This window comes from Homo sapiens, chromosome 1, assembly GCF_000001405.40.
Source record: "Homo sapiens chromosome 1, GRCh38.p14 Primary Assembly".
Lineage (NCBI taxonomy): Eukaryota > Metazoa > Chordata > Mammalia > Primates > Hominidae > Homo > Homo sapiens.
Window position 1 is genome coordinate 192,609,263 of NC_000001.11, and position 26,852 is coordinate 192,636,114.

The 26,852-nt window shown below is 35.4% G+C and overlaps 2 long non-coding RNA genes across 2 annotated transcripts in view; one reads left to right on the plus strand and one right to left on the minus strand.

Annotated features, from left to right (window-relative positions):
* Nucleotides 1-19,771, minus strand: part of LOC105371664 (uncharacterized) — a 115,921-nt gene extending 96,150 nt beyond the window's left edge. Inside the window, exons 1-2 of the long non-coding RNA XR_002958418.2 lie at nt 19,625-19,771; nt 18,079-18,159 (exon numbers count right to left, since the gene is read on the minus strand). This is a non-coding gene — a long non-coding RNA (uncharacterized LOC105371664). The remainder of the gene's footprint in view (nt 1-18,078; nt 18,160-19,624) is intronic.
* Nucleotides 93-25,288, plus strand: LOC107985241 (uncharacterized). The gene is made up of 2 exons (XR_001738348.2): nt 93-674; nt 24,747-25,288. It is a non-coding gene; the product is annotated as an uncharacterized LOC107985241 (long non-coding RNA).
* The last annotated feature ends 1,564 nt before the right edge of the window (nt 25,289-26,852 follow it).

Below are 26,852 nucleotides of genomic sequence, written 5' to 3' on the forward strand. Positions count from 1 at the left end.
GGTTGTAGCTGTCACCTCCTCACCACTCTCGCCGGCAGCATTCTGCAGTTCCTCTTTTTCATGTAACTAACTTTCGATTCACATCCTGCCACAGACACATCTGATTGGCAGGTACTATGGCATGTGCCCATGTCATAGCTAAAAGAAAGGCTGAAACATTTGTAATTTTTTATTTATGTAATGGGAGATGGGCTCCATATTATAAGGTAGGGGATTCTTCAAGAAGTTTCGGTACTGAGAAATAAAATTGAATGACAAACAGGAACCAAAAAATGCCATGGTAGAGATGAAGAGAACCCAAAACCTCTTTTTCTGTCCTTGTTTCCTTTTCTGAAACAAGTGACTAAATACTCAAAGTCCATGGGGAATATGACAGATCCATTCTAAAAACTAACACCTTCATGTTCAGCCAAGAACCAGCAAGTTCACATCTTACTTGAAGAAAACAAACCTTTGTATAAGTTGGAAGCATAGTATCACAAAGTGGCATACAGGGGTAAATAGATGCCTGATTTGCTTCCAGTCAGCCAGGCCCAATAATGTCCTTCAAGCCTGCAGAACTATTGCCTCTGATGTTCCTCCACCACCCTGAAACAGAACCAATAGCGGCTGATCTTGTGTCTACCCGCAACCTTCTCTTTCGTGACAAAGCAACATGCAAGTGGAATCCCAAGGTAAGACAAATGTTGTCATTTTAGTTAACATTGATTAAACATAGTGTTTACGTCACTAAAATCGTCAGTACTATAATCATAAGTTCTTATTCATGGGCTATGATAATAACTATGTGAAATCTATTTCTGATTAATCTTTCCACCTAGTGCTTAAATATAGAATATTACTATATTCAATACAAATATAAAAACATTTGATTTATATTTATTTAAATATATTTTTTATCCCTAGTATATTTATTAAATATATTAATATAGAGTTATGTATCTAGATCTATAAAAGGGTCAATATTTCGGCAAAAATTTTGCTATTAACTTTTCAAGGAAATTACATACTGGCTTTTAATTACAATGGCCTATGATGACACCTAGTGGCTAATGGGCATATTTTGAAATCCCCAATTTGACCAATATAAATGATTTTTAATTTTTTTAAAATAAATACAGTGATAATGTTTCCTTTTGTGGATTTTGGCACATTTTTAAAGTAAAATAAATATATCAAATTTCTCTTTCCTGTCACAAAGAAACTCTGAAAAAAGTTAACTGTAATTAAGAAAGACCACTTTTTAAAAATTGTACTTACATCGTCAGATAATATATTAGCTATCAATCATAGTTAAAAAGGAAGAAAATAACATTATGCAAGTTCAAAGTGAATGTAGGCATTGTAATCAGTTAACCCTCTAAATTTATAAAAATGTAAGGCAGAATCACTTAACGTGAAATTCCTGGGATGGAAATCATAGATTTATAGTCCTGATTGTGCCTCAAATTAGTTGTGTCCTTGAGCAAATTGTGCAATCTCTCTGTGCCTCAATTCTATAATTAGTAACATGAGAAGGTCAGAATTTACAGGCCTTTTGAGCAATTTCTTATGTGAGACTCTACAAATTGCTGTCAGTCACATGGCCTTCCTCATCTAGGCACCTGTTCCTAACACAACAGAATATGAAATGCTCCATTCTGAATTCAAGGTTTAATATATATCAGCTTTTCTGACACATATATTTTCTTTTAGATCATAAATTCATAATATGTACTTAATATTTAATTCATTTATAGTCCCAATCTTGAAATGTTTGGTAATTTCATTAGCTATTGAACAAAATGATATTAATTTTGAATGCTTCCTCAAGTTGCTTCACTAAAATGAAAAAGGAACCACTAGCATCTTTCCTTAATATTTAATAAGCATATATTTTTCACTTTATTCTAGAAATTTATAATTTTGCATAATTCTATTAAGTCTTCTCACAGACTTCCACTGTCTACATCTGAAGAGCTCTAGTCCTGATAGTTTGAACGTTTGAACTCATTTTATAGTTATCCCTCCCTCTCCGCACTAGGCACCCCCAACACACACACACACACACACACACACACACACACACACACACACGTAAATTCTTACCATCTTTGTCTTGCCATCTTTCTCTTCTTATATTTCAGTTTTCATTTTTTTCTTTTTTTAAAAAAAGTGGATTATTAAATATTTCAAGCATAGAAAAAATTGTAAGTCAATATGTAAAACACCCATGGATCTATCACTTATTTTTGTAATCTTAACATTTTGTCATATTTTATTTAGTAAAAATGGAATACTGCACAGACAATTAAGACCCCATATACCTATCCCCTGCCTCCATCTCTATCAGAAATCACTATCTATATTTAGAGTTTATAATCCACCTGCATGTCTTTATATTTTTATTACATATAACCAGGAGCAATACATGTACGGGTTTACATGTTTTAAAACATTATATAAATGTTTATATAAGTAAATATTCTTCTGCAATTTGTTTGTACAGAAGTTGTTAATTTCAATGTAGTAAAATTTACCAATCTTTTTCTTTAAGTTTTATACCTTAGTTTTTCTTTAAGAAATCTTTCTGTAGCTCAGGGTCATAACAGGTTCTGTACTAATTTTTTAATTAAATCTTTAATATTTTTGCCTTTAACCCATTGTTTTGGGTATAATGTAAGGCTGGTATCTGAGGTCATGGGCTTTTTTTTCTATATAGATAATCGGTCATCCCAGCATCAATCTATTGAATAATCCATATTGTGCTCTGATTTTCACCTCTGTAGTATTTTATTTTTCCATATGAGTAGGGCTGTTCTGTGCTGTACATTTTTCTATTTGTCTTTACTTGCACAGATATTATACCATTTTAATTTCTACAATTTTAGAGTAAACCTGGATATCGGTTCTCTCCACCATTTTGGAAAATGTCTTAATTATTTTTTACTCTTTTTTGAGGTATGAATTATAGCAAGAACTTGTCAAAGTCAAAGGAAATTGCTCTACTGTAATTTTGCTTGGAATTACATTGAATGTATAGGTTAATGAAGACAGAGTTATATTTATAATATTTTCCTCCATGAACATAATATAGCTCCTTATTTATTTAGGTTCTCTGTTTCATGAAACTACTAAGTTTTCTCTAGAAACTCTTGCACATCTCTTGTTAAATTTATTCCTAGGTTCCATATAATTTTATCACAATTTTAAATGCTATGGTTTAAGCTATATTTTATCTTTGCTTATGCTATATAAAGAAAAGCAGATTATTTTTACGTGTTAATCTTGTATTTCAACAGCGTAATTAAACTTTCTTTAGTGTCAAGTAATTTGCCTATATGTTCTTTTTAGATTTTCTTAGTAAGCTGATAGGCCTTCCCTATGACAATAATAATTTTGTCTCTTCACTGCTAATAGTTATACTTGTTTGCACTTTGCACTAGGTGTGGCCTCCAGCAAACATTTAATAGAAACAATGACAGTAATAGGACAGTACTTCAAAGGTTTTATTCTTAATATGACATTTGCTGTAAGTTTTTGGTAGAAACTCTTCACAGGATTCAGGGATTTCTCCTTTATTCCTAGTCTTCTTTATTGTAAATCAGTATTGCATATTTATCAAATACTTTTTCTGCACTTATTGGGATAATCACATGACTTTCATCTATTAATGCGATGAAATACACTAAAATATTTTATAATAGTAAAACTTCTTTGCATTCTAAAACAAGCCCAATTTAGTTCTAATGTATTCTTTTGCATATTAAAGATGAGCCTATAATTTTCCTTTCTCATGTTGTCTTTCTTCGGTTTTGATATAGAGGTTTTACTAGTTTCATAAAATGTGTTTAGAGATACACTCATTTTCTATTCTTTGGAAAGTTTATGTCATATTTGGATTTCCTGTCCTTTGCATAGTTGATTAAGGTTCCTCTAAAATTAGCTGGAGCTGGATTTGTGGTTTTGTGAGTGTGGATGAAGATAGGGGCATAGGAGGAGGTGTGCTGATGCACTAGGAGATGAAAATATTCAAATTTTCATTTAATTCCCATAATAGTTAAAGATCTATTCAGATTTTCTAATTATTTTTTGTCAGCTAAGTGACATTTTTGTAGAAATATGACCATTTATTTTTTGGTCATAGTATTCTCCTGTGATTCTGTTTCATATCTATTAGAACTGTAGATCTGTAGCCATGACCTTTTCTTATCCCTAATATTGTTAAAGGTCATCTCTCTATTTCTACTATATCACTTTTGTCAGAAAGACTTCCTTATTTTTACGTAGAAACAAATTTGTTTCTTAACCCTTTTTGTATTCCTTTTCTATTAAATTATGACAGTTGTTTTTATTTCATTAATTTGTGCTTTTACCTGTGTACTATTCCTTTCCCTCTGATTTATATGTTTTTTTGGTACTGTTTTCCTATCTTCTTTGTTGATCACATAGCTCATTATTTTGCAGTTTTCTTTCTTTTTAAAATACAAGCATTTAATGTCATATAAATTATCCTTAAAAAAATCATTTTAGGCCTGGCACAGTCATTAATGCCTGTAATCCTAGCACTTTAGGAGGCCAAGCTGGGGGGATTGCTTGAGGCCAGGAGGACGAGACCAGCCTGGGCAACATAGCCAGACGATATCTGTACAAAACTTTAAAAAAAAAAAATAGTCATGGCGGGCCGGGCCCGGTGGCTCACACCTGTAATCCCAGCACTGGGAGGCCAAGGCAGGTGGATCACGAAGTCAGGAGATTGAGACCATCCTGGCTAACACGGTGAAACCCTGTCTCTATTAAAAATACAAAAAATTAGCAGGGTGTGGTGGCAGGCGCCTGTAGTCCCAGCTAGTTGGGAGGCTGAGGCAGGAGAATGGCGTGAACCCGGGAGGCGGAGCTTGCAGTGAGCCGAGATCGGGCCACTGCACTCCAGCCTGGGCGACAGAGCGAGACTCCGTCAAAAAAAAAAAAAAAAAAAAAAAGTCATGTGGTACATGCCCTAGCTACTCTGGAGCCTGAGGTGGGAGGATTGCTTGAGCCCAGGAGTTCAAGGTTACAGTGATCTATGATAACACCACTATGCTGCAGCCTGTCTCTTTAAAAAAAAAAAAAATCACTTAAGCATTCTCCCACAAATTCTGATACACGACATGTTTATTATCTTTTATTCACATTTTCCAGTTCCTATTTTGATTCCCTGTTTGATCCATTCATTATTTAGAGTGTGTTTTTGTTTTATTTTGTTTTAGTTTCTAAACGCATGAGGAATTTTTAAGACATCTTTTGAAGATTAAATTCTATTTTTTACATTTTATTGTGGTGTAAACACTTAACATGAAATCCACCCTCTTAACAGATTTTTAAGTGTACAGTACAATACAATACAGTGTACTGTTAGCTATAGGCACAATGTTGTATAGCAGATCTCTGAATTTCTTCATCTTGCATAACCGAAACTTTGTATCCATTGATTAGCAACTCCCCATTTCTTACTTCTCTCACTCTCTGAAAACCATCACACCATTCTCTGCCTTTAGAAGTTTGACTCTTTTAGATAGATTATTTCTCATAGAAGTGGAATCATGCAGTGTTTGTCCTGTGACTGGCTTACTCCCCTTAACATAATTTCCTTAAGATTCATCCATTTTGTTGCATATTGCAGGATTTCCTTCTTTTTTAAGGCTAAATAACATTCCATTGTATGTATATACCACATTTGCTTTATCCATTTTCTCAGCTCTTTAGGTTATTTTTATATATAGGCTATTGTGAATAATGCTGAAATGAACATGGAAATGCTAATATCTCTTTAAAATCCTGATTTCAATTTTTTTGGTTAAATACCAAATTTGCTAGATCTCATGGTAGTTTTTTTTAATTTTTTGAGGAAACTCCTTACTGTTTTCCATAGTTGCTACAACATTTGGCATTCCCATCAAGAGTGTACAAGGGTTCTGATTGTTCTACATCCTCACCAATACTAGTCTTTGGTTCTTTGACAGTAGCCTCTTAACAGGTGTGAGATGACATTTCATTGTGGTTTTGACTTGCATTTCCCTGATGATTAGTGACACTGAGTAGCTTTTCATATATCTGTTACATGTTTTTATGTCTTCTTTGAAAATATGTCTATACAATTCTTTTTAATTGGGCTTTTGTGTTATTGAGTGGCGGGATTTCCTTACCCTTAAAACCCACAAAACTATGGCATGAATATACACATAGCAAAGTATAAAGTTTATTTTTATAATACCTACTTTATTCCCACTACAAGGATGCCAGGACAGTTTAACTCTCATGAAGCCCCTCTTAACCTTCTCATTATTGTTGGCAGCATTTTAGTTCCACTTTTTTCATATCACTGAAATTATTATTATTGTTCATACAAACAATAGTTGTGTATGTAAAACTCCACGTGTACCATTTTCTCTGTTCACCATTTCTTTTTTGCATCTCAATCTCCCTGTAGCTCTAATTTTTTTCTTTCTTTAGTATATGCATTTGAATCTTTCATTGAGAATCAAATAGTACGTATAGAACTTTAAATATATACAGAATGTGTAGTTTTTTCTCTTAATATTTGAATAAAATTTTCCATTATTTTCTTGTTTCTGTTTTTGCTGCTGAGGTATCTGCAATTATTATTTCAAAGCAATCTTTTATTTAAGTCTAATTACTATTAATTTTTTCTCTTTTACTTTGGCAAAATTCTACAATTTTATCATGCTGTATCAACATGTGGAGGTACTGATATAAAGATAGATGTATAGATAGATAAACGGATGGATGGATAGATAGATAGATAGATAGATAGATAGATAGATAGATAGATAGATTTCTGCTCAGGATTTAAACATAGTGAATCTTATTAATCTTTTATTAGATATGAAAATTCTCACCAAATTACCTTACATACTTAATCTTATTATATCATCATGCTATTTTTTGAATAATGTTCTTAGGTCCATCTATTAGTTCACAAATTCTTCCTTTAGCTAATCTGTTGCTTAATCTGTCCACTAGTTTGTTTTTTAGTGATTATATTTCTTACCTCCAAAAGTCATCTGTTTTGTTTTCACATCTGCTTAATCTTTTGAAATAAGGTTTTGTTGTTTTCAAAATTGAGAATCTTTTTTTAAAATAGATTATTCAGTTTAAATATTTTTGTTTTATAGTTTCTATTCAGCAATTCTATTAGCTGAAGGTCTTAGGAATCTAATCTCGCTTCTTTTTTAATCTGGTATGTTTTCATGAGGGTTTGTTTGCTTGTGTGTTTGTAAATTTTGGATATTAAGCTCATCTTCAGCATAGATTTATCCATAGGAGTCTTGTGTGGCCTGTGTTTACAGATGTCATTCCGGGGATATATTGTCTGCTTTCTGCTAGGTGCCCCAAGGATATTACCAGCCCAAACTATTTTTACATTGATTCCTCACTTGAGAGTTTTAGGAGCTCATGGATAGGGTAAATTTAAATCCCATTACCATGATTACAAATTATCACAGAAGGCTTCATTTTTTTCATCTGCAGCCCAGGGCCAAGAGAGCTAAGCTTTCTTGTTGTCTCCTATGCCACTGGAAAGATATTTTCTAGTTCAACCTATTTCTGATGGTTATCCCTCTGAAAAACACAGATTAGAGGGTTGGTGGATCTCAATACAAACTTCCCACATGTACATGCATCATACCCCAGGTGCTAGCTTCCTTCTTTTTCCTTAACCAGGAAAGAAACAAAAAAGATTATTTGCCAGGCTGAGTCACAATTCCAGTTTTCCATCCTACCATTATGATTTTCAATTCCCACTTTGTATAGGAAATTGAGAATTTTCCTTTCTTACTAGTAAGAGCAACCATGAATTTAAAATAATTTTAAAACTATTTTAGCCAGAAAATCTCTTTGTTTTGTAATGGAAGCATTTTCAGTTACTTGGTTGGTTCAAAACATTGCTGGAAATAAAAATAGTCACCTTCTTTCCCATTCATTTACAATCTCCTTGAATTGACAGCAACAGTGTACATAAGCTAGGGGTAACTACAGATAAAATACTGCTTTCCATTATAAGTGAAAACACTGTTCTCAAATAATGGCCATGATCACTAATCTTTTAAAGGTATATATAGTGAATTGGCATTATCATGGGAAAATATTATCAGCAACAAAATAATATTAATAAAATTTATCAATTATTAAGCACTTGAGATGTATTAGTTATTACTAATCCTTATAATAATTTTCCTCAGAAAACTAACATTTATAATATAAAGTAACTTGTTCATAATCATGCACATAGTTTGATGACTCAGTTGGGAATATAGGTCCTTCTCTTTCTAACACCAAAATTGGTTATCTGTACATCAAGGGCTTCCATATGTCATAATTGACCATGATTCATGTTGCTTATTTGGGATTTGTTTATCTAGCAACTCTTTAACTCAAGCTTGCCCAAGTAAAACTCTCTATCTTTGTCTTGTTCGCTATATTCACGTCTATCAGCATGTATATGCAGAACTTATTTAATCTGTAAACCTGCCTAAATTGTTGCAAATAGAGATTAAAGTCATAAAAAATATGCAAAATGCAATTAAGCATACAGACTGTGTCTTATTTATCTGTATAATCTACTGTTTCACATAGTACATGACTTTTTAATACATAAAGTCAAAGTGATCTGAAAATACTTTAATTCCTAATATTGTAAATATTTATCTAAGTGCTTCATAAAGTACCTTATAGCTTACAATAAAATATATTATAAATACAATCTTTCTTATAAATATTGAAACATCAGTCCTTAGCACTATGTCTATAAAAACCTGGAACATTTATTTTATGCAAAAAAAAAGAGAACAGCTGAATTTTAAGATTTAAAAATTTAAAACCATAATCTGTCAAGTAATAAATGTGTGAAATTTCACTGGGGCCTGTTGTGGGGTGGGGGGAGGCGGGAGGGATAGCATTAGGAGATATACCTAGTGTTAAATGACGAGTTAATGGGTGCAGCACACCAACATGGCACATGTATACATATGTAACTAACCTGCACGTTGTGCACATGTACCCTAAAACTTAAAGTATAATTTAAAATATATATATATGAAATAAAAAAATAAGTGTGTGAAATTTAACAAATTTAAGTGTGCAAAAATCTTTATTTTTTTAAAGTGGACATATGTTCTGTCGGTAAGTTTAGACTTGCTATGAAATAAACCACAATGTAACTTAAGCCATGGAGTTCCGGGAGGACTGTGGCATCTTGATGTGATCCATGGCAATAACCAAAAAATAGGACACATTTCTGTCATCCCTCACCCTCCTCCACTTCCAGGATTGGCCTGGGACAGGAAGGTATAGCCACCCTGTGTTATAACTAAGTAACAAATATTAGTTTCCTGAGGAAAATTATTATAAGGATTAGTAATAACTAATACATTCCATTGCTTAGTAACTGGCTCTCATCTTCTCAGGAAAGAAGCTTCTTGCTGCTACTCAGACTTTTTTTCCCTTCTCTGATACTAAAACTCTTTATTTAACCTGGGAACAGAGGTGGAAAAATTTCTACTTGCCCCCAAAATTTATATTTTATATTCTGATTTAGGCATTTGAACTTTGAAAGCCCAGTAATCCTATTTTGTTGTTGTAGTTGTGTATCACCTGCACGCTGTGTATCATCCTTCCCTGAAGCAGTGGAAGCTGCAGGTCTGGCTGCCCAGATGTTTGGGATAGGTGGGAGTGGTAGAGTGTGGAAAGGTAAAGAAATTTTTAGAGAAAGAAAGTGATTTGCCTACTTGATCTACCAAGAAAAGACAAGTCGTGGAAGCCAATAAAAGTTGGCTTAAACAGGAGTAAAGATATTAGCTTGAACCACATAAAGTTATCCATATGCTACCATTTTTACCTTATAAAAACACAATTTCATATGGTTCAACCTAATAAAAGTGTTATGTTATGAGTCAGTTCATCTCACATAATGTATTCTCTCTTCAGCAGAAATCAAGGACCATTCTCAATCTTTATTTCCATGTTAAGGAGGAATATAATTTCCTTCATAATGCCATCCTAAGAGACTAGGGTTGTCAACTGTCCATCATCAAAGAGTTTTTCCATTTCATTATAATGTAAAGGCTATTTGGGCAGATTGTGAAGCCTAGGGAGTGGTACAGTATACTTTGGGGTATAAGAGTGTACACATTGAAGCCAGATGGCCTGGATTCTAACGCCCAATCCACAATCCACTATTTGCTAGCTGTATGACCTTTTTATGCCCCAATTTTGAAACATCTATAATGCAGGGATAATCACAGTATCTATTTTATAGATTTGTTATGAGAATTAATTAAATTATTTGTAAGGCTTACAGATCAGTGCTTAGTATATTCTATGGCAAATGAGTATTTATTATAATTGTTGTTATTATAATATATTATGGGTTGAATTATGCCCTCCATCCTATATTTGTATGTTGAAGGCAAATCTATAGAGACAGAAAATAGACTAGTGGTTGCCTGGCTCTCAGGGAGGGTGGAGAGTGGAAGTGGATATGTGGGATCTTACAGGAGTGATGGATATGTTCTAAAATTGGATTGTGGCGGTGGTTGCACAAATACTATATATTTACACATAAAATCTCAATTTCTACAAGAAGGATGAATGATTTTATGGTATGTAAATAACTCCTCATGAAAGCTATTAAAAATGACTTATTGATAATTTTTCATTAAAATATATATTGATACTATTTGTATTTTCATAGCCAACATCATGAAGCTGTAAACATGTAAGGCAAATAGAGAAGCTTAGCACTGTGGATAAAGCTGTTGCCATAGCACGGCTAATTAACATCTTTAACATCCCATTTTTTTTCTATTAGCAAAACCATCTCTGGACATCCTCACCATAGAAACATTCCTACTCTTTAATTATGTGTGTTACTTTATTGTGTTTTATAGTTTTCATCTAAGGAGAAACTGATTGATCCCACTATGGGACTGATTGCCTAATATCCAGACAGCATTCACTGTCTTTTATGTTCAGGATATTGCCACTTGAGAAAGGATTATTTACTGTGACAAATCTTAAATGGGAAATGAAGCAAAATTAACTAGTAAAACATTTTCTGTGCCAGAGTCATATGTGCATTGCAAGAAGGAAAAACAAACTTCCCTTGAGAGTGGTTTTAATTATTCACAGTCTCTGACATGATTTCAATATAACCCAACACAAATGCTGGCTGATTTTTCTTTGCCAATTTTGGTGTGTATTACAACAATCTACTCCACTTTTCAGGGGAGAATGCTTTCCCTTTCCAAACCTCATGGAGTCCATACTCAAAGCATTCTGACTCCCCAAGAAAACTACATCAACTGAACAGAAACTTAAATTATTTGGGGCAGTTTCCTATGAATCCTTGCAAGCCCTTTTGGATCCTTTCTTGGAACAAACTTTTAACCCATTTATGGGACCAGATAAACACACTTTAAATCCCCAGGCTCATGGACTGCTGGCCACCTATATTTGAAGTTTTTACTACTCCTCTAGCAAAACGCAAAGTCCTATGTGACCTTCTCAATATTATCTTGCAAAATTTTTTTTATTATACTTAAAGTTCGAGGGTACATGTGCACAATGTGCAGGTTTGTTACGTAGGTATACATGTGCCATGTTGGTGTGCTGCACCCATTAACTCATCATTTATATTAGGAATATCTCCTAACGCTATCCCTCCCCTCTCCCTCCACTCCATGACAGGCCCTGGTGTATGATGTTCCCCTTCCTGTGTCCAAGTGTTCTCATTGTTCAGTTTCCACCTATGAGTGACAACATGCTGTGTTTGGTTTTTTGTCCTTGCGATAGTTTACTGAGAACGATGGTTTCCAGCTTCATCCATGTCCCTACAAAGGACATGAATTCATCCTTTTTTATGGCTGCATAGTATTCCATAGTGTATATGTGCCACATTGTCTTAATCCAGTCTATCATTGCTGGACATTTGGGTTGGTTCCAAGTCTTTGCTATTGTGAATAGTGCCGCAATAAACATACGTGTGCATGTGTCTTTATAGCAGCATGATTTATAATCCTTTGGGTATATACCAAGTAATGGGTTGGCTGAGTCAAATGGTATTTCTAGTTCTAGATCCTTGAGGAATTGCCACACTGCCTTCCACAATGGTTGAACTAGTTTACAATCCCAACAACAGTGTAAAAGTGTTCCTATTTCTCCACATCCTCTCCAGCACCTGTTGTTTCCTGACTTTTTAATGATCGCCGTTCTAACTGGTGTGAGATGGTATCTCATTGTGGTTTTGATTTGCATTTCTCTCATGGCCAGTGATGATGAGCATTTTTTCATGTGTCTGTTGGTTGCATAAATGTCTTGTTTTGAGAAGTGTCTGTTCATATCCTTTGCCCCCTTTTTGATGGGGTTGTTTTCTTCTTGTAAATTTGTTTGAGTTCTTTGTAGATGTTGGATATTAGCCCTTTGTCAGATGGATATTAGCCCTTTGTCAGATAGGTAGATGGCAAAAATTTTCTCCCATTCTGTAGGTTGCCTGTTCACTCTGATGGTAGTTTCTTTTGCTGTGCAGAAGCTCTTTAGTTTAATTAGATCCCATTTGTCAATTTTGGCTTTTGTTGCCATTGCTTTTCATGTTTTAGACATGAAGTCCTTGCCCATGCCTATGTCCTGAATGGTATTGCCTAGGTTTTTTTCTAGGGTTATGGTTTTAGGTCTAACATTTAAGTCTTTAATCCATCTTGAATTAATTTTTGTATAAGGTGTAAGGAAGGGATCCAGTTTCAGCTTTCTACTTATGGCTAGCCAGTTTTCCCAGCACCATTTATTAAATAGGGAATCCTTTCCCCATTTCTTGTTTTTGTCAGGTTTGTCAAAGATCAGATGGTAGGAGATGTGTGGTATTATTTCTGAGGGCTCTGTTCTGTTCCATTGGTCTATATCTCTGTTTTGGTACCGTTACCATGCTGTTTTGGTTACTGTAGCCTTGTAGTATAGTTTGAAGTTGGGTAGTGTGATGCCTCTAGCTTTGTTCTTTTGGCTTAAGATTGTCTTGGCAATGTGGGCTCTTTTTTGGTTCCATATGAACTTTAAAGTAATTTTTTCCAATTCTGTGAAGAAGTCATTGGTAGCTTGATGGGGATGGCATTGAATCTATAAATTACCTTGGGCAGTATGGCCATTTTCACAATATTGAATCTTCCTATCCATGAGCATGGAATGTTCTTCCATTTGTTTGTGTCCTCTTTTATTTCATTGAGCAGTAGTTTGTAGTTCTCCTTGAAGAGGTCCTTCACATCCCTTGTAAGTTGGATTCCTAGGTATTTTATTCTCTTTGAAGCCATTGTGAATGGGAGTTCACTCATGATTTGGCTCTCTGTTTGTGTGTTATTGGTGTATAAGAATGCTTGTGATTTTTGCACATTGATTTTGTATCCTGAGACTGCTGAATTTGCTTATCAGCTTAAGGAGATTTTGGGCTGAGACAATGGGGTTTTCTAAATATACAATCATGTCATCTGCAAACAGGGACAATGTGATTTCCTCTTTTCCTAACTGAATACCCTTTATTTCTTTCTCTTGCCTGATTGCCCTGGCCAGAACTTCCAACACTATGTTGAATAGGAGTGGTGAGAGATGGCATCCCTGTCTTGTGCCAGTTTTCAAAGGGAATGCTTCCAGTTTTTGCCCATTCAGTATTATATTGGCTGTGGGTTTGTCATAATAAACTCTTATTATTTTGAGATACATTCCATCAATACCTAATTTATTGAGAGTTTTTAGCATGAAGGGCTGTTGAATTTTGCCAAAGGCCTTTTCTGCGTCTATTGAGATAATCATGTGGTTTATGTCTTTGGTTCTGTTTATATGATGGATTGTGTTTATTGATTTGTGTATGTTGAACCAGCCCTGCATCCCAGGATCCCAGGGAAGAAGCCCACTTGATCATGATGGATAAGCTTTTTGATATGCTGCTGGATTCGGTTTGCCAGTATCTTATTGTGGATTTTTGCAATGATGTTCATCAGGGATATTGGTCTAAAATTCTCTTTTTTTGTTGTGTCTCTGCCATGCTTTGGTATCAGGATGATGCTGGCCTCATAAAATGAGTTAGGGAGGATTACCTCTTTTCTATTGATTGTAATAGTTTGAGAAGGAATGGTACCAGCTCCTCTTTGTACCTCCTGTAGAATTCGGCTGTGAATCCATCTGGTCCTGGACTTTTTTGGTTGGTAGGCTATTAATTATTGCCTCAATTTCAGAGCCTGTTATTGGTCTATTCAGGGATTCAATTTCTTCCTGGTTTAGTCTTGGGAGGGTGTATGTGTCCAGGAATTTATCCATTTCTTCTAGATTTTGTAGTTTATTTGCATAGAGGTGTTTATAGTATTCTCTGATGGCAGTTTGTATTTCTGTGGGATCAGTGGTGATAACCCCTTTATCATTTTTTATTGCGTCTATTTGATTCTTCTCTCTTTTCTTCTTTATTAGTCTTGCTAGCGGTCTATCAATTTTGTTGATCTTTTCAAAAAATGAGCTCCTGGATTCACTGATTTTTTGAAGAGTTTCTTTGTGTCTCTATCTCCTTCATTTCTGCTCTGATCTTAGTTATTTCTTGCCTTCTGCTAGCTTTTGAATGTGTTTGCTCTTGTTTCTCTAGTTCTTTTAATTGTGATGTTAGGGTGTCAATTTTTTATCATTCCTGCTTTCTCTTGTGGGCATTTGGTGCTATAAATTTCCCTCTACACACTGCTTTAAATGTGTCCCAGAGATTCTGGTATGTTGTGTCTTTGTTCTCATTGTTTTCAAAGAACATCTTTATTTCTGCCTTCATTTTATTATGTACCCAGTAGTCATTCCAGAGCAAGTTGTTCAGTTTCCATGTAGTTGTGCGGTTTTGAGTGAGTTTCTTAATCCTGAGTTCTAGTTTGATTGCACTGTGGTCTGAGAGACAGTTTGTTATAATTTCTCTTCTTTTACATTTGCTGAGGAGTGCTTTACTTCCAACTATGTGGTCAATTTTGGAATAAGTGTGATGTGGCACTGAGAAGAATGTATATACTATTGATTTGGGGTGGAGAGTTCTGTAGCTGTCTATTAGGTCCTTGGTGCAGAGCTTGGTGCAGAGCTGAGTTGAATTCCTAGATATCCTTTTTAACCTTCTGTCTTGTTGATGTGTCTAATGCTGACACACGGGGTGTTAAAGTCTCCCATTATTATTTTGTGGAGTCTAAGTCTCTTTGTAGGTCTCTAAGGACTTGCTTTATGAATCTGGATGCTCCTGTATTGGGTGCAAATATATTTAGGATAGTTAGCTCTTGTTGTTGAATTGATCCCTTTATCATTATGTAATGGCCTTCTTTGTCTCTTTTGATCTTTGTTGGTTTAAAGTCTGTTTTGTCAGAGACTAGGATTGCAACCTCTGCCTTTTTTTTGTTTTCCATTTGCTTGGTAGATCTTCCTCCATCCCTTTATTTTGAGCCTATGTGTGTCTCTGCAAGTGAGATGGGTCTCCTGAATACAGCACACTGATGGATCTTGACTCTTTATCCAATTTGCCAGTCTGTGTCTTTTAATTGGAGCATTTAGCCCATTGACATTTAAGGTTAATATTGTTGTGTGTGAATTTGATCCTGTCACTATGATGTTAGCTGGTTATTTTGCTCATTAGTTGATGCAGTTTCTTCCTAGCATCACCAGGCCTGCCCTACAAGGGCTCCTGAAGGAAGCACTAAACATGGAAAGGAACAACTGGTACCAGCCACCGCAAAAACATGCCAAATTGTAAAGAATCTTGGCTTTCTTAAGGAAAGAGACCATATCTTTATACATCTTCAAATAGACAGCACATAAAACTGTTAAATGCTGCCCATTTTCCAAGGACCTTTGCAATGCTACCTCGGCAGTAATATACTTCTGATATCCACAAACAAATCTAATTTCTTATTCCTTTTATATCCTCTATAGATTGTACAACTTTGAATACATTTATTATGTTCTCTTTCTAGTAATTTGATTAATCTTATTACCGATTATACTGTAAGCTTGTGAAAATAAGAGATATATGATACTACCTGCATTCACTGTTCTGCCCCAATCCTCAATCCCACTCAAAATCATTCTCAGAAAGTACTTGCTTGATAATGTCAATTAAATCAAATAGTAATGGTTATGCCATCCTTATTTATAACTACAACATTGAAGTATATCGTATCAATTCAAACTGCAGAAATAATGAACAAACAAGATTTTTCTGGTTTATTTAAGGAGCAAGAAATATTTGTAGTCAATGAAAAGAATTTCTCTGTGAAAATTTTGAAGGGGCTAACTCTCTCTGCCAATACTCCTTTGCCAATATATCTACAAACTTCCCCATCTCTCATGTTTTGCAAGTTCCCATCAGTATCTGTGGTGACTTTTATATCACTCTACCTTCTGATACACAAAGCAGTGTGGTATAGGAAATAAGATATGTGCTTTGAAGTCACATAGTCCTAATCCCAAATTACACAGCTCAGGTGAAAGACCTAAGTATGCTGCTTACCCCATCTGAAGTTTAGGTTCCTTTTCTCCAATATAAAGACTGAAATAACAACTTCATATGGTTGTTGTGAAGATCACGTGAGAAAATGTGTTTAAGGCACTCTTTAAAGTGCCTGTCATATTAAAGGTACTTTAAAAAGTTGGATTAAAAGTATTGATTCTATTAAACAAATATTTATTAAGTACCCACTGAAGGCCATGCACTAATTTGTTCCAAGGACCCAATAATGAACAAGACAGACACAAGGCCTATTCTCAAATTGCTTAGAGTCCAGTGAAGGAGACAGACAATTCAGCATGCAAATGTTGTACCTGGTGATAAGCACAGTAATGCAAAAATAAAGACAAGAGTGTCTTTAGGGTACAAATGAGGAGCACCTCTAAAATCAGAAGACTCATTCTTCCAATAATTTCAAATTGCCACCTAAATTCAAAAACTCAGTATATACAAACTGTGGTCATTGTTAACAATAAAATCTATTGGATGATTCAGTGATGAAGGAACAATGCAAGGTACCAGCTACCATATAATCACCTTACAGAATTATCATGCCTTCTAGGCTATACCACATTCTAGAATCCACAAGCACACTCTTGTAGAGAAACAGCAATCAAATCTACAAACAAATATTTATCCTTTAGATATATAGGAAAGCCTCAAGATAAAAACATACTCGATACACAGGTCATGCATTTGCATATTTTTCTACTTTGGCAGCAACTGAAAATTCAGTGTGAAGAGACAGGGACTAATAAGTAGTTTCTGCAAAGCAGATGCCCTTGTTGTGCTTCTAAAGCCTGGTTTCTGTATTTTTTAAAATAGCATGCTAATTTTAAAAGACAAAATAATAAAAGACATACAGGGTTGTGAATGGAAAAGTTTCAAAACTCACAAGGCCAATTTCTCGTTATAAGAGGTCCCTGGGGAGAGATAAGAAACTGGTATTTCACTTGTCAAACAGGAACTTGTGTGCTATTTTATACTTTGCTTTGCTTATAGCAACCTTAGCAGACCATGAATGTTATAGAGGAAGAATGCTATAGGGGAAGAGTTTAGGTAAATTAAGTCTAATGGCTTTGCTGCTTAACGTAAATGACAGCAGTTGACAGTAGGGCCCTGAGTTCATTTCAGGGGATAGGCTCTCTGTCTCTGAAGAGGGTTGGCAAAGAGCTGCAGGATAAAGGTGACACCAGGCTACAGCAACTTCCCCTGACTGGCATCCACCACACTCCTTGGACTTCCACTCTGCTCTTCTCTGCTCCCAGCAGAGGGGTGAATGTATATGTTCTGACTTTTGCTTGCCTTTAGCCTGAATGTTACATGACTTGAGCAAGTTGTAACCTAGAAAAACCTTTTATTTCCCTTAGGTGTCCTTCCATTTCTAGTCAGCTCTGCTTAAGTTGATTTCAAATATTGTCCTTTCTTATAATCAAAATATTTTTCTTGGGTATGTCTCCCAGATAGTTAGCAGATATATATGTTACTATTATATTTCTATAAAAATGGTACCCTCCTAGCTCTTATTAATTCCCCATTCGTCTCACCTGGATTCTGTGTAAGAGTGTGTATACTCTCCAACTGAGAGATTAATCATGAGGAGGAAATTAAGTCTTCTATGTCATCAACTGGAAAAAAAGATAAAATTAAATATCATTAATTAATTTAAATAATACAAAAAATTTCTCACTTTAGTTCGCTGATTTTCCTCTGCTTATTCACAGCTGTAGCATATATATATATATATATATATATATATATATATATATATATATAAATAATTATAAATTATCTCTAATGTGCCAATATAGGACCCAATATAGCTATGATTGCGTTCATAATGATTCCTTACAACAAAACCTTAATGTTGTAAGATAAATATCTTTGTAATTAGTGCCCTAGATTTTGCTCAGTGAGGATAAAATGGGACAGCATTCACTAATGTTCTGGAGTCTGTTCAGAGATGAATAGTTGCCAAAAACTACTGGAAGGTTGAAGACTTCCTAAAGTTTATCTAATTAAAGGCCATATGATATTAAGTCTCAATTTCCTCTTCTGAAAAATGAAGATAATAGAATCTGCCTCTCAAGGATGTTAAAAAGATTAGGTAAAGTTCCTAGCTCATTGTGCCCATTTCATGCTCTATGTAAACGGTAGTTATTGTTATTATTACTTTGACTAATAAATACTTCATAATAGTGTTGGGTGCATCTATAAACACAAAATGAAACAAAACTCTTCAAATATAGCCATAACAAACCTGTATGATAGCAGACAAAAACCCTGACCCAGCAGCTGACACGGTCACTAGATATGACTCTACATACTCGGCTGTGAAACCTGGGCCATGCACAACCCTTCTCTCTTTCGATTTTGTCATTTGAAAATTTAAGGAGTCAACCTAAATTGTTTGCAATGCTCCCAGAGCTTACAAACTATCATTTTTGTGAATCCTCTAGATTAAACAGTGCCCATCTGCAGTATCTGAGAGACCTAATGTCTTGCGTCTGAATCCATCCTTAATTTTGTCAGGAAATAAATATAACTAGATAATATACTATAGCTTTTCTGGGGAGGAGGAGCTACTATATTTATTTCTCTAGAGAACTACAAACTAGAACACTTGAACTCCTAAACTCCAAACCATATCTTCCTAGGCAACTCTGCAGGACTCCAAATTGACTTATTTCTGTTGAAAGAATAGGCTACTGTAGCAACTGATAAAGAGCCTATCTCTCAGGGACCCAGAGAGCACTTGACAGATACTATCACATTAAAGCTGTTTGTTGTTAGAGGAAAGCTAGTATGGAAAATCATTCTGATAACTAATCTGGAACACTGACAGCCAAGTGACTTTGTCTTCAGTGCCAGTGAACAAGGACAGTGCAACTCTCTAAATTCTATTTACTCATCAAGCCTCCTAATTAGATCAACTGCAATTGCCCAAGCAACTTCAGTGACCCTTGTTAGAGATTTCTCACCCAGCTGCTACTGCTGTGCAGTAGGCTTCTGAGACCCCAGCCCTGACTCTGCCTCCCTCACCACCACCTCATTACTCCTGGCTTGTGAATCTCAACACTGTCCTTTACTCACCCAGGAACGTCACCATCAGCAACAATGTCAATGCCTCTCCACTCATTGCAACTTCACAGCCAAATGCCCTCATGACAGTTTATCCAACTGTTAGGAGTATTATTTGAATGCACTCCTCTAAACCCTTTAATAGAGAATACAATTTTCCACAACCCAAATTAAAATGTACACAAAATTTCTCTTCTGGTATCTATCCCTTAGCTTTATGTCCCCTTCCAGCAAAACTAGCTAAATAATTTGTGATGCCCAATGCAAAATGAAAATGAAAGGTCCTTTGTTTCAAAATCAAGAATATTAAGACAGTGACAACAGAGCCCTAAAACCAAATTCTGGCCCTGTGTTACCATGGGACATGTCACATGCACATGAAGCTAGACCAGTCTCTCTTATTCCTGAGTTCTAAACCCTTCTAAACATGTGTACCATGGTGTCTTCATCAATCATGAAGTGTTTCCTCTCTCCCACAGCAACCTCCAGTGATTTTTTGCCAATCCTTTGTCTCCATTGGTTTATATCATGGGCTGTTGCCATTTGATAGTCTCATGTCTCAACCTCTCAGAGACCAAGCTACCTACTAATTAATTCACTAGACTGATTGTACCTGGAAGGTCTTCTAATCCTCACATTCCCATTTCAAGTATGGCCTCCAAAATCTCTGTTGCATTTTTATTGACTAATGCATCACCTATTGGCCAAGGGAATCCCTGTGTGTGTGGACTGTGTGAATCTCAGTATCTTCAAATAATTTTGCTTGTGGTCCACCTTAGAATAAAGCTTGACCCTGGGCAAGGTCTTCTTGACAGAGTAATCAGTTTATTTTTTCCAGAGTGACAGATAAAACGTTTAATTTCCCATTATCTAGGCCCTATAAAACATCTGTAGGCTAAGAGCAGCTATGCCAATTAGCAGAAGTGACAGCCTGAGTCAATGAACTGCAGCCTAAAAATAAAGCCACATGGTCCCTTTGGTCCCTTTGGAACACTGCTTGACTTGGAACAGATCTAAGTGGAATATTCCTTAGTTACCACTGTTTCACAATAGTTTTTTGACCCCTTTTTCTTAGGCATGTTTGATTTTCCGGTGTATTTCTAAACATGCACATAAGCAATTTAAATGTTTCCCCGGGCCTTGGCAGAAAGTGAAAATAAAATAATAAGAAATATATTATTAAGTACATTATTATTTATGTTATCAGATAAAACAAGTGTTTTTGAGCTGCTGGAGTTCTTTGTTTAGAAAAGCTTGGGTGTTTTTTTAATTATCATCAAATTCAATATGCATAAAATTCATAAAGCAAATTCATAAAATGTATAAAGCCAATGTATTTTGCTTTATGTCATGTACTTGAATACTGGGCATAAACTGAATTTCAGACATTTAAACTAGAAGAATTAACTAATGGAATTCCTATAGAATTCTTTTGTAAAATAAATCATTTTCAATGATAATAATCATTCTTTAATCTATATTTTCTTTCAGATATTTCATTATAAGAAGGCAGCATATATCGTGTGTCTTTAAAGAATGATGCTCAAATTGCATCATTTGAGGCAGAAAAATTAGATTCAGAAGCATAATATTCCATTTACTCAACTCAAATAGAAACCATGTTAATACCACTTAAGAGAAAAGACCAGAGTCTCAACATGGAATAAATTACAGTGAATAAAATAAAGCAAGAGTAGGGGAGAATTCGTGTAACCACAGCATCTTGTCACATGTTTTTCTAGTAGAGAAAGAAGAAGAGGAGATAGATACAAAGACACAAGGGCCTAAAAACTTTAGGCTGTTACCTAAACTGAGATAAGAATGTAAGATATACACAATTATCTGATTTTCAACCAGAAGTAAGCCAGAAAGGGAATGAGGACCTTAAAGTACACAGAACGCAGGAGTTAGGCAGCCTGAGTTTTTGACTCAGCTATATCTCAGCTACTGTGTGGCTCAGGGCAACGCACAAGAGATCAATTTCTTTCTTCATTACATGAAAGCTTTGAACTAGATTATCTAAATTTCCTTTAACCTCTAAATGTCCGTGATGGAACTTCTGCTTTAAAATGGGGTTGGAGAAGCAGTCTCTGAAACAAGCTCTTCCACTTCCTACACAGACAACCAACATTTAAATATAAAAATACCTTCCTTATTAGAAAAGTTGCCTTCACAAAGCTCTTTGGCAAAGGTTATAAGGAAAGCAAACAATCGATACAAATTTCACATTTCTATTTACTTTCTGCCTACTCACTTGGAAAAGCAATAAGATGAAATAAATTCCCACTGATCTGGGGGAAAATATAACTAGAATGCCATTTTTCCTAAGTTCCTTTGTTTGGAAGTTTTTAAAAGAGTTAAAACAAGCTTCACGGTTTATTAGATATTATTTTCTGTAGTGTTTGAAAATGTTATGGGGTAAAAAAAGGGCATGTGTTTTTAATGCCCTGAACATTTTCTTTTTCAAACAAAAGTCATCCTTCTTGTGTCTCGGTCCCCGTTGTTCTTCTTCCCATTCTGCCCCTTTGCTCAGCTTCATCTATAAAAATCATTTGTGTAATCTCTATTGGCCCCACGCTGTACATTCAGGATGCCTTATGTAGTTCCAGGCCTCCAGGATTATATTTCTTATAACACCAATCACTCTTCATTTTCCTTTGGATGTTATTTTCTTTGGGCAAAATTACTTTTCCTTTGTGTAAAAATGTTTTAAGAAAATATTTTCCATATCTGCAAAAAGCATGTAGTTGATGCACTAGTTTTACAGTTCTTAAAGCAACTCCTCAAATATTCAGACTTGAGGGGGAATTAAACAACACTTTTTGTATGGAGGAAAGCATACCAAAGTAGGTTTCTGAAGCTTCTGGGATTGCAATTTTTAAAATTCTTTGCCTTTTCTACAAAACTAAACTTGTTTTATCTAATCTTATTTGCATTATCATATCTTTCAGAGGTTTTAAGATATAGTGTCATAATCCTAAAGAAAAACATTTGCCTTGTATTTTATTCTAGTTCCTTGTTTGACTAAGTCACAAGGACACCATTGTTTAAATTTGCATGCCTCATAAAAATATATATTTGTGTAAATTATACTTACAAAGCATCTCCAGATATATCTCATTAACCACTACACAAATTATAGGTTACAAAAAGGTTACAGTCAGAGAGGCAGAACTACTTCTTAGGAAAGTATGAGATATGGGAAGCTTGTACAATATAATCCTTCCCAAACTTCACCCTATAATTTTTATCTAAGTGAAAATTGGTTAAAATGAACATTAGGGTAGTTTTTAGCTTGGATAAATCCTGTTGGGAAAAAAAAACTATATCCATCTATTCTTTGAATATTTATTGAGCATCTACTACATCAGTCTGAATGCTATGTCCACATATGCATTTGAAGCATGAATGAGAAAAGTGGGAGACTCCTTTGGTAAAGCAGGGAGAAGGAATGCAGGCTAATTCTGAGCTCTGCGCTCTTTTAGTCTCTCCTATCAGCTGACTGAGGTACCTATTTCTTTTAAAATGTTCCCTGCCTCTGATTCACTACCTAGCCATCTACTGCCCTCAATCACCAGACACCACGTAAGTCCTGAGGATAGATTTGTTTCAAGAATAAGACAAAAAGTATTTCAATGGTGATCTACAGAAAAACCATTTTAATTTCTGTGATAAGAAAAAAAAAACCGGAAATGTGGCACAAGTATGTTTGTTCTGTACTTCTATAGTAGAAAATTTATATACTTTGCACATGGCAGAACAGGACAGGCTTATCTAAACAATAAGGGATAGTGAGTTGATTAGGTGATTGGAAACAGGCTTCAGCTTTGCAACTGCACATCAGTGGGCCTTGTATGTTCAAAGCATTCCGCATCTAAAGAAGCAAACGATGCTTTCCATCTGTGATAACAAGGAAATGCTAAAGTTCCAATTTCCTTGACATTTTATTGCATTTACTTTTATCTAAAATGAGTATATAACATTATCTTATATAAAAGGAAAGCATGGTAGACGAGACATATCTTGAAAATCTTCTCTCTACCAGACATCCAGAAATGCTAAAAAAAAATATGTAACAACCCCATTTAAATGCATAGGCAAGCTTGCCAAAACTAAGAGAAATCAAGAAAAAAACAGAGGGAATCCTAAATCAGAGTGATAAACTGGCATTTAAAGTTTAGCTGAGTTCAGCATTTGCTAATCTCAGTAACCTAGAGATCTGGCTTTTAAGATCTGTTGCAAGCCAGGAAACAAAATCAAAGGCTGTCCTAATATGAGCCGGGGGCTCTTGAACTGCTATACCTTCAGTGAAACAGCAGACAGAAAAAAAACAAGTCACCTACAAAAATTGATGACAGGAACATGTCTATTTCAGCATAAAACCAGGTCTGTAATTTAAATTTACCCTACCTGTGTGGTCCAGGAGACCCAAGCTAAGAAAATAACAAAGCAGTCTTGTGTTAGAGAAGTGCCTGGGCTGCCTGACAGAGCCAGTGCAAATCCTCTTCAAAGGGACGTGCCCTTAACCCCATCCTTAGAGAATTTCACAGATCAAACAATGTGAAAGTACAAAAGAGCTAATAGACTCATCTCAGTGCAAATTAAACAACTGTGGAGTGTCTCCTTTTTTTTTTCCGGGAAAAGAACACTTTCCTATGTTAATGTTACCCCAAATACACTGGTGGAAACAATAAGATTTGAATGAATTCCCCAGAATTTAGTCAGGAAGGACAAGACAATCCACCAAGTGCTCAGAAGAAAATAGAAACCAAGTAGGACCACTGGTTTTTTCAATTACATGCTGGAGATCTGAAACCTGAGAGCACTGCCGACTTTCTGGAAGGGCCAAGAGAATGGATTTAAAGCAGCTACCAAAAGGGAACTAAGAATGATTGGGAGTTAGTGACTAAACTTTATAGCATAACAGGACCATGATTATAATTAAAGACATCTTTAAAGCAAATCATCTGAATAAATGCACACAGAATTGGTAACTAACTTTAATTGCTACTGAGGTTTATTTTATGCTAACAATAGTGTTCAATGCTCAGTAATCTCTTCCTAATTTTTGTTGTCGGTATATTTTGGGTTCACACAAGTCAGAAACCAAAGTTAGATTGTTTCTAATTGGCAGCAAACCAGAGGGGACGGGAGACTGGTCAAGTCTCTGAGTCGTCCACTCCAAGATGCGGACAATGAGTGTATGAAGACAGACTGAGAATGCGCTGCAAAGAAGCTTGGAAGAAAATGAAGGCAGAGAGGACAGACCTGAAAGGCTAAGAGGGACAGATCAGCGTCCATGGAAAGCAGGAGCAGAAGCCAGTCTTCTTCCAAACACTGGCACAAACCACTGCCTACTGGATACATTTCACCAGACAATTCACCCCAGTGTCCAAGAGTTTATCTTGCTTCTAGAATATATTGAAAAGAGCCACCCTCTGAACAAATGGCAAACACTATATAGTATAAATAGGATGCACTGAAAATAGTAGGCTTATTTCTTAAGCTGTCATCACGAACATTAACCAGTAATTATATTTCTCCACTTTTTGTAGAAGACATAAATGGCAAATTCTGAATTTATAATTTCTAATACTTCATTTTTCTGCTCTTGTAAAGTTCATTTTGAACTTTCAACATAAAAATATTAAAGATTTTTAATTGTGCACATTTGAACTTGTGTTACTTTGGACTTACATTGGCTGAAATTGAAATATAGTAAAAGTGCTCTAGAGTAAGCAGATCAGTTCATCAGAAGGACAGCCTTTCAATGGAAAGGGCATTCCCAAGCTGCACCAACGAAAGCATAATCCTGTTACCTGCCCTAACCTGACAGCTCTGAATTAGTCTGATCCACCTATGTGCCGTACAAAGCATTATATTGCTATGATTTCATAAACTGAACTTGAACTACACTTTTTCAGAGAAACAAAACCATGTTTAGAAATCTGCCACAAATATCTACACATTGCTCTTGAATTCCTCCAGGAATTTCCACCTACTCGTGCTGTTACTCTTCACTCTATGATTTATTTGTTTTTCAGTCCCTGTCGATACTTAAGTTTTACTCTGTAGGGAGATTCTCATGTTTGACTCCATTAAACAAGCTTTGAAACTGACACTCGCACAGGGTGTTACTTCCAGAATCTTCCTGCCAGCTCCTTGCATCCACACCATGAGAAAGAGCAAACATTCCAAATCCCAAAAAAATGAATTATTTGGGGTGAGGAAAAGTCTTGACTATGACACTGAAGATTTCCTGAAGAGATCCAGCATCCAAAATGTCCTGAGTGGGGAGGAAATCGCACACCTAGCACCCAGAGAAAATGAGTGCTATCCACAAACAACCCAGATCCTCCCAAGCTGAGGCTAACCTGCCCTTCACTTCCTACATTATTGCTACATCTACGCAGCTTCTGACTTTCCAAAGTTTCCTTTCCTTTTCTAGTCCCAAACTTATCTCTCAGGTTTGAGAAATTCAATTTTCTTGGGTTTGAATCTCAAAATTATAAAAGACAAGTAAGGTTAATCTTCTATCTCATTGGGCCCCTAAATATTTTAAGAAACACTCCATCAACCACATTTTGATCTTCTTTACTGCTGTTTTATTCTAGCATTTCTTTACTCCTACCTCTCTGTTTCTCTCTCTCTCTCTCCCCCCAAACCCCCCAACTCCCCCACCCCTCCCCACACACACACACAATTGGAGTAAATCCAGGACAAGGGCATTCACAATCTTACCATATTCTGTATTCATTAGACCTTATCTTAAGCACTGTGTTCAATTCAGATTTTGAAGGCATGTTAACAAACTGTAGAACAACGGAGTCCAGAACTGCTGTAGAGGACCAGTTGAAGGAACTAGAGAGGTATAACTAGAAAAGATACTTTTTTAGATCCTTCAGTTGTTAAAAGTCCCTAGTAATCTATTACAAACAGATTGATTTTAATAGTTCTCAACCATTTGCTAACATGTGTTTGCAGTGATGTCCTATGTGTTTGTACTCAGTTCTCTGTCTTTTTTAAAAGGGAATTTTACTTTAGACTATACATTTTCTAAAACTAGAAAAATTATTTTGGAGAAAAAGATTTGAGTATTACTTTGAAGATTTCATGAAGCTGCTGCTTCCAATCATCTGATCACTTCAGATGGTCTGATAATGTTAGATAAAACCTCTTTATCAGTAATGCACTGGAGTCCTACAGCACTACTTTCCATATTCAACAAAACCTCTCTTTG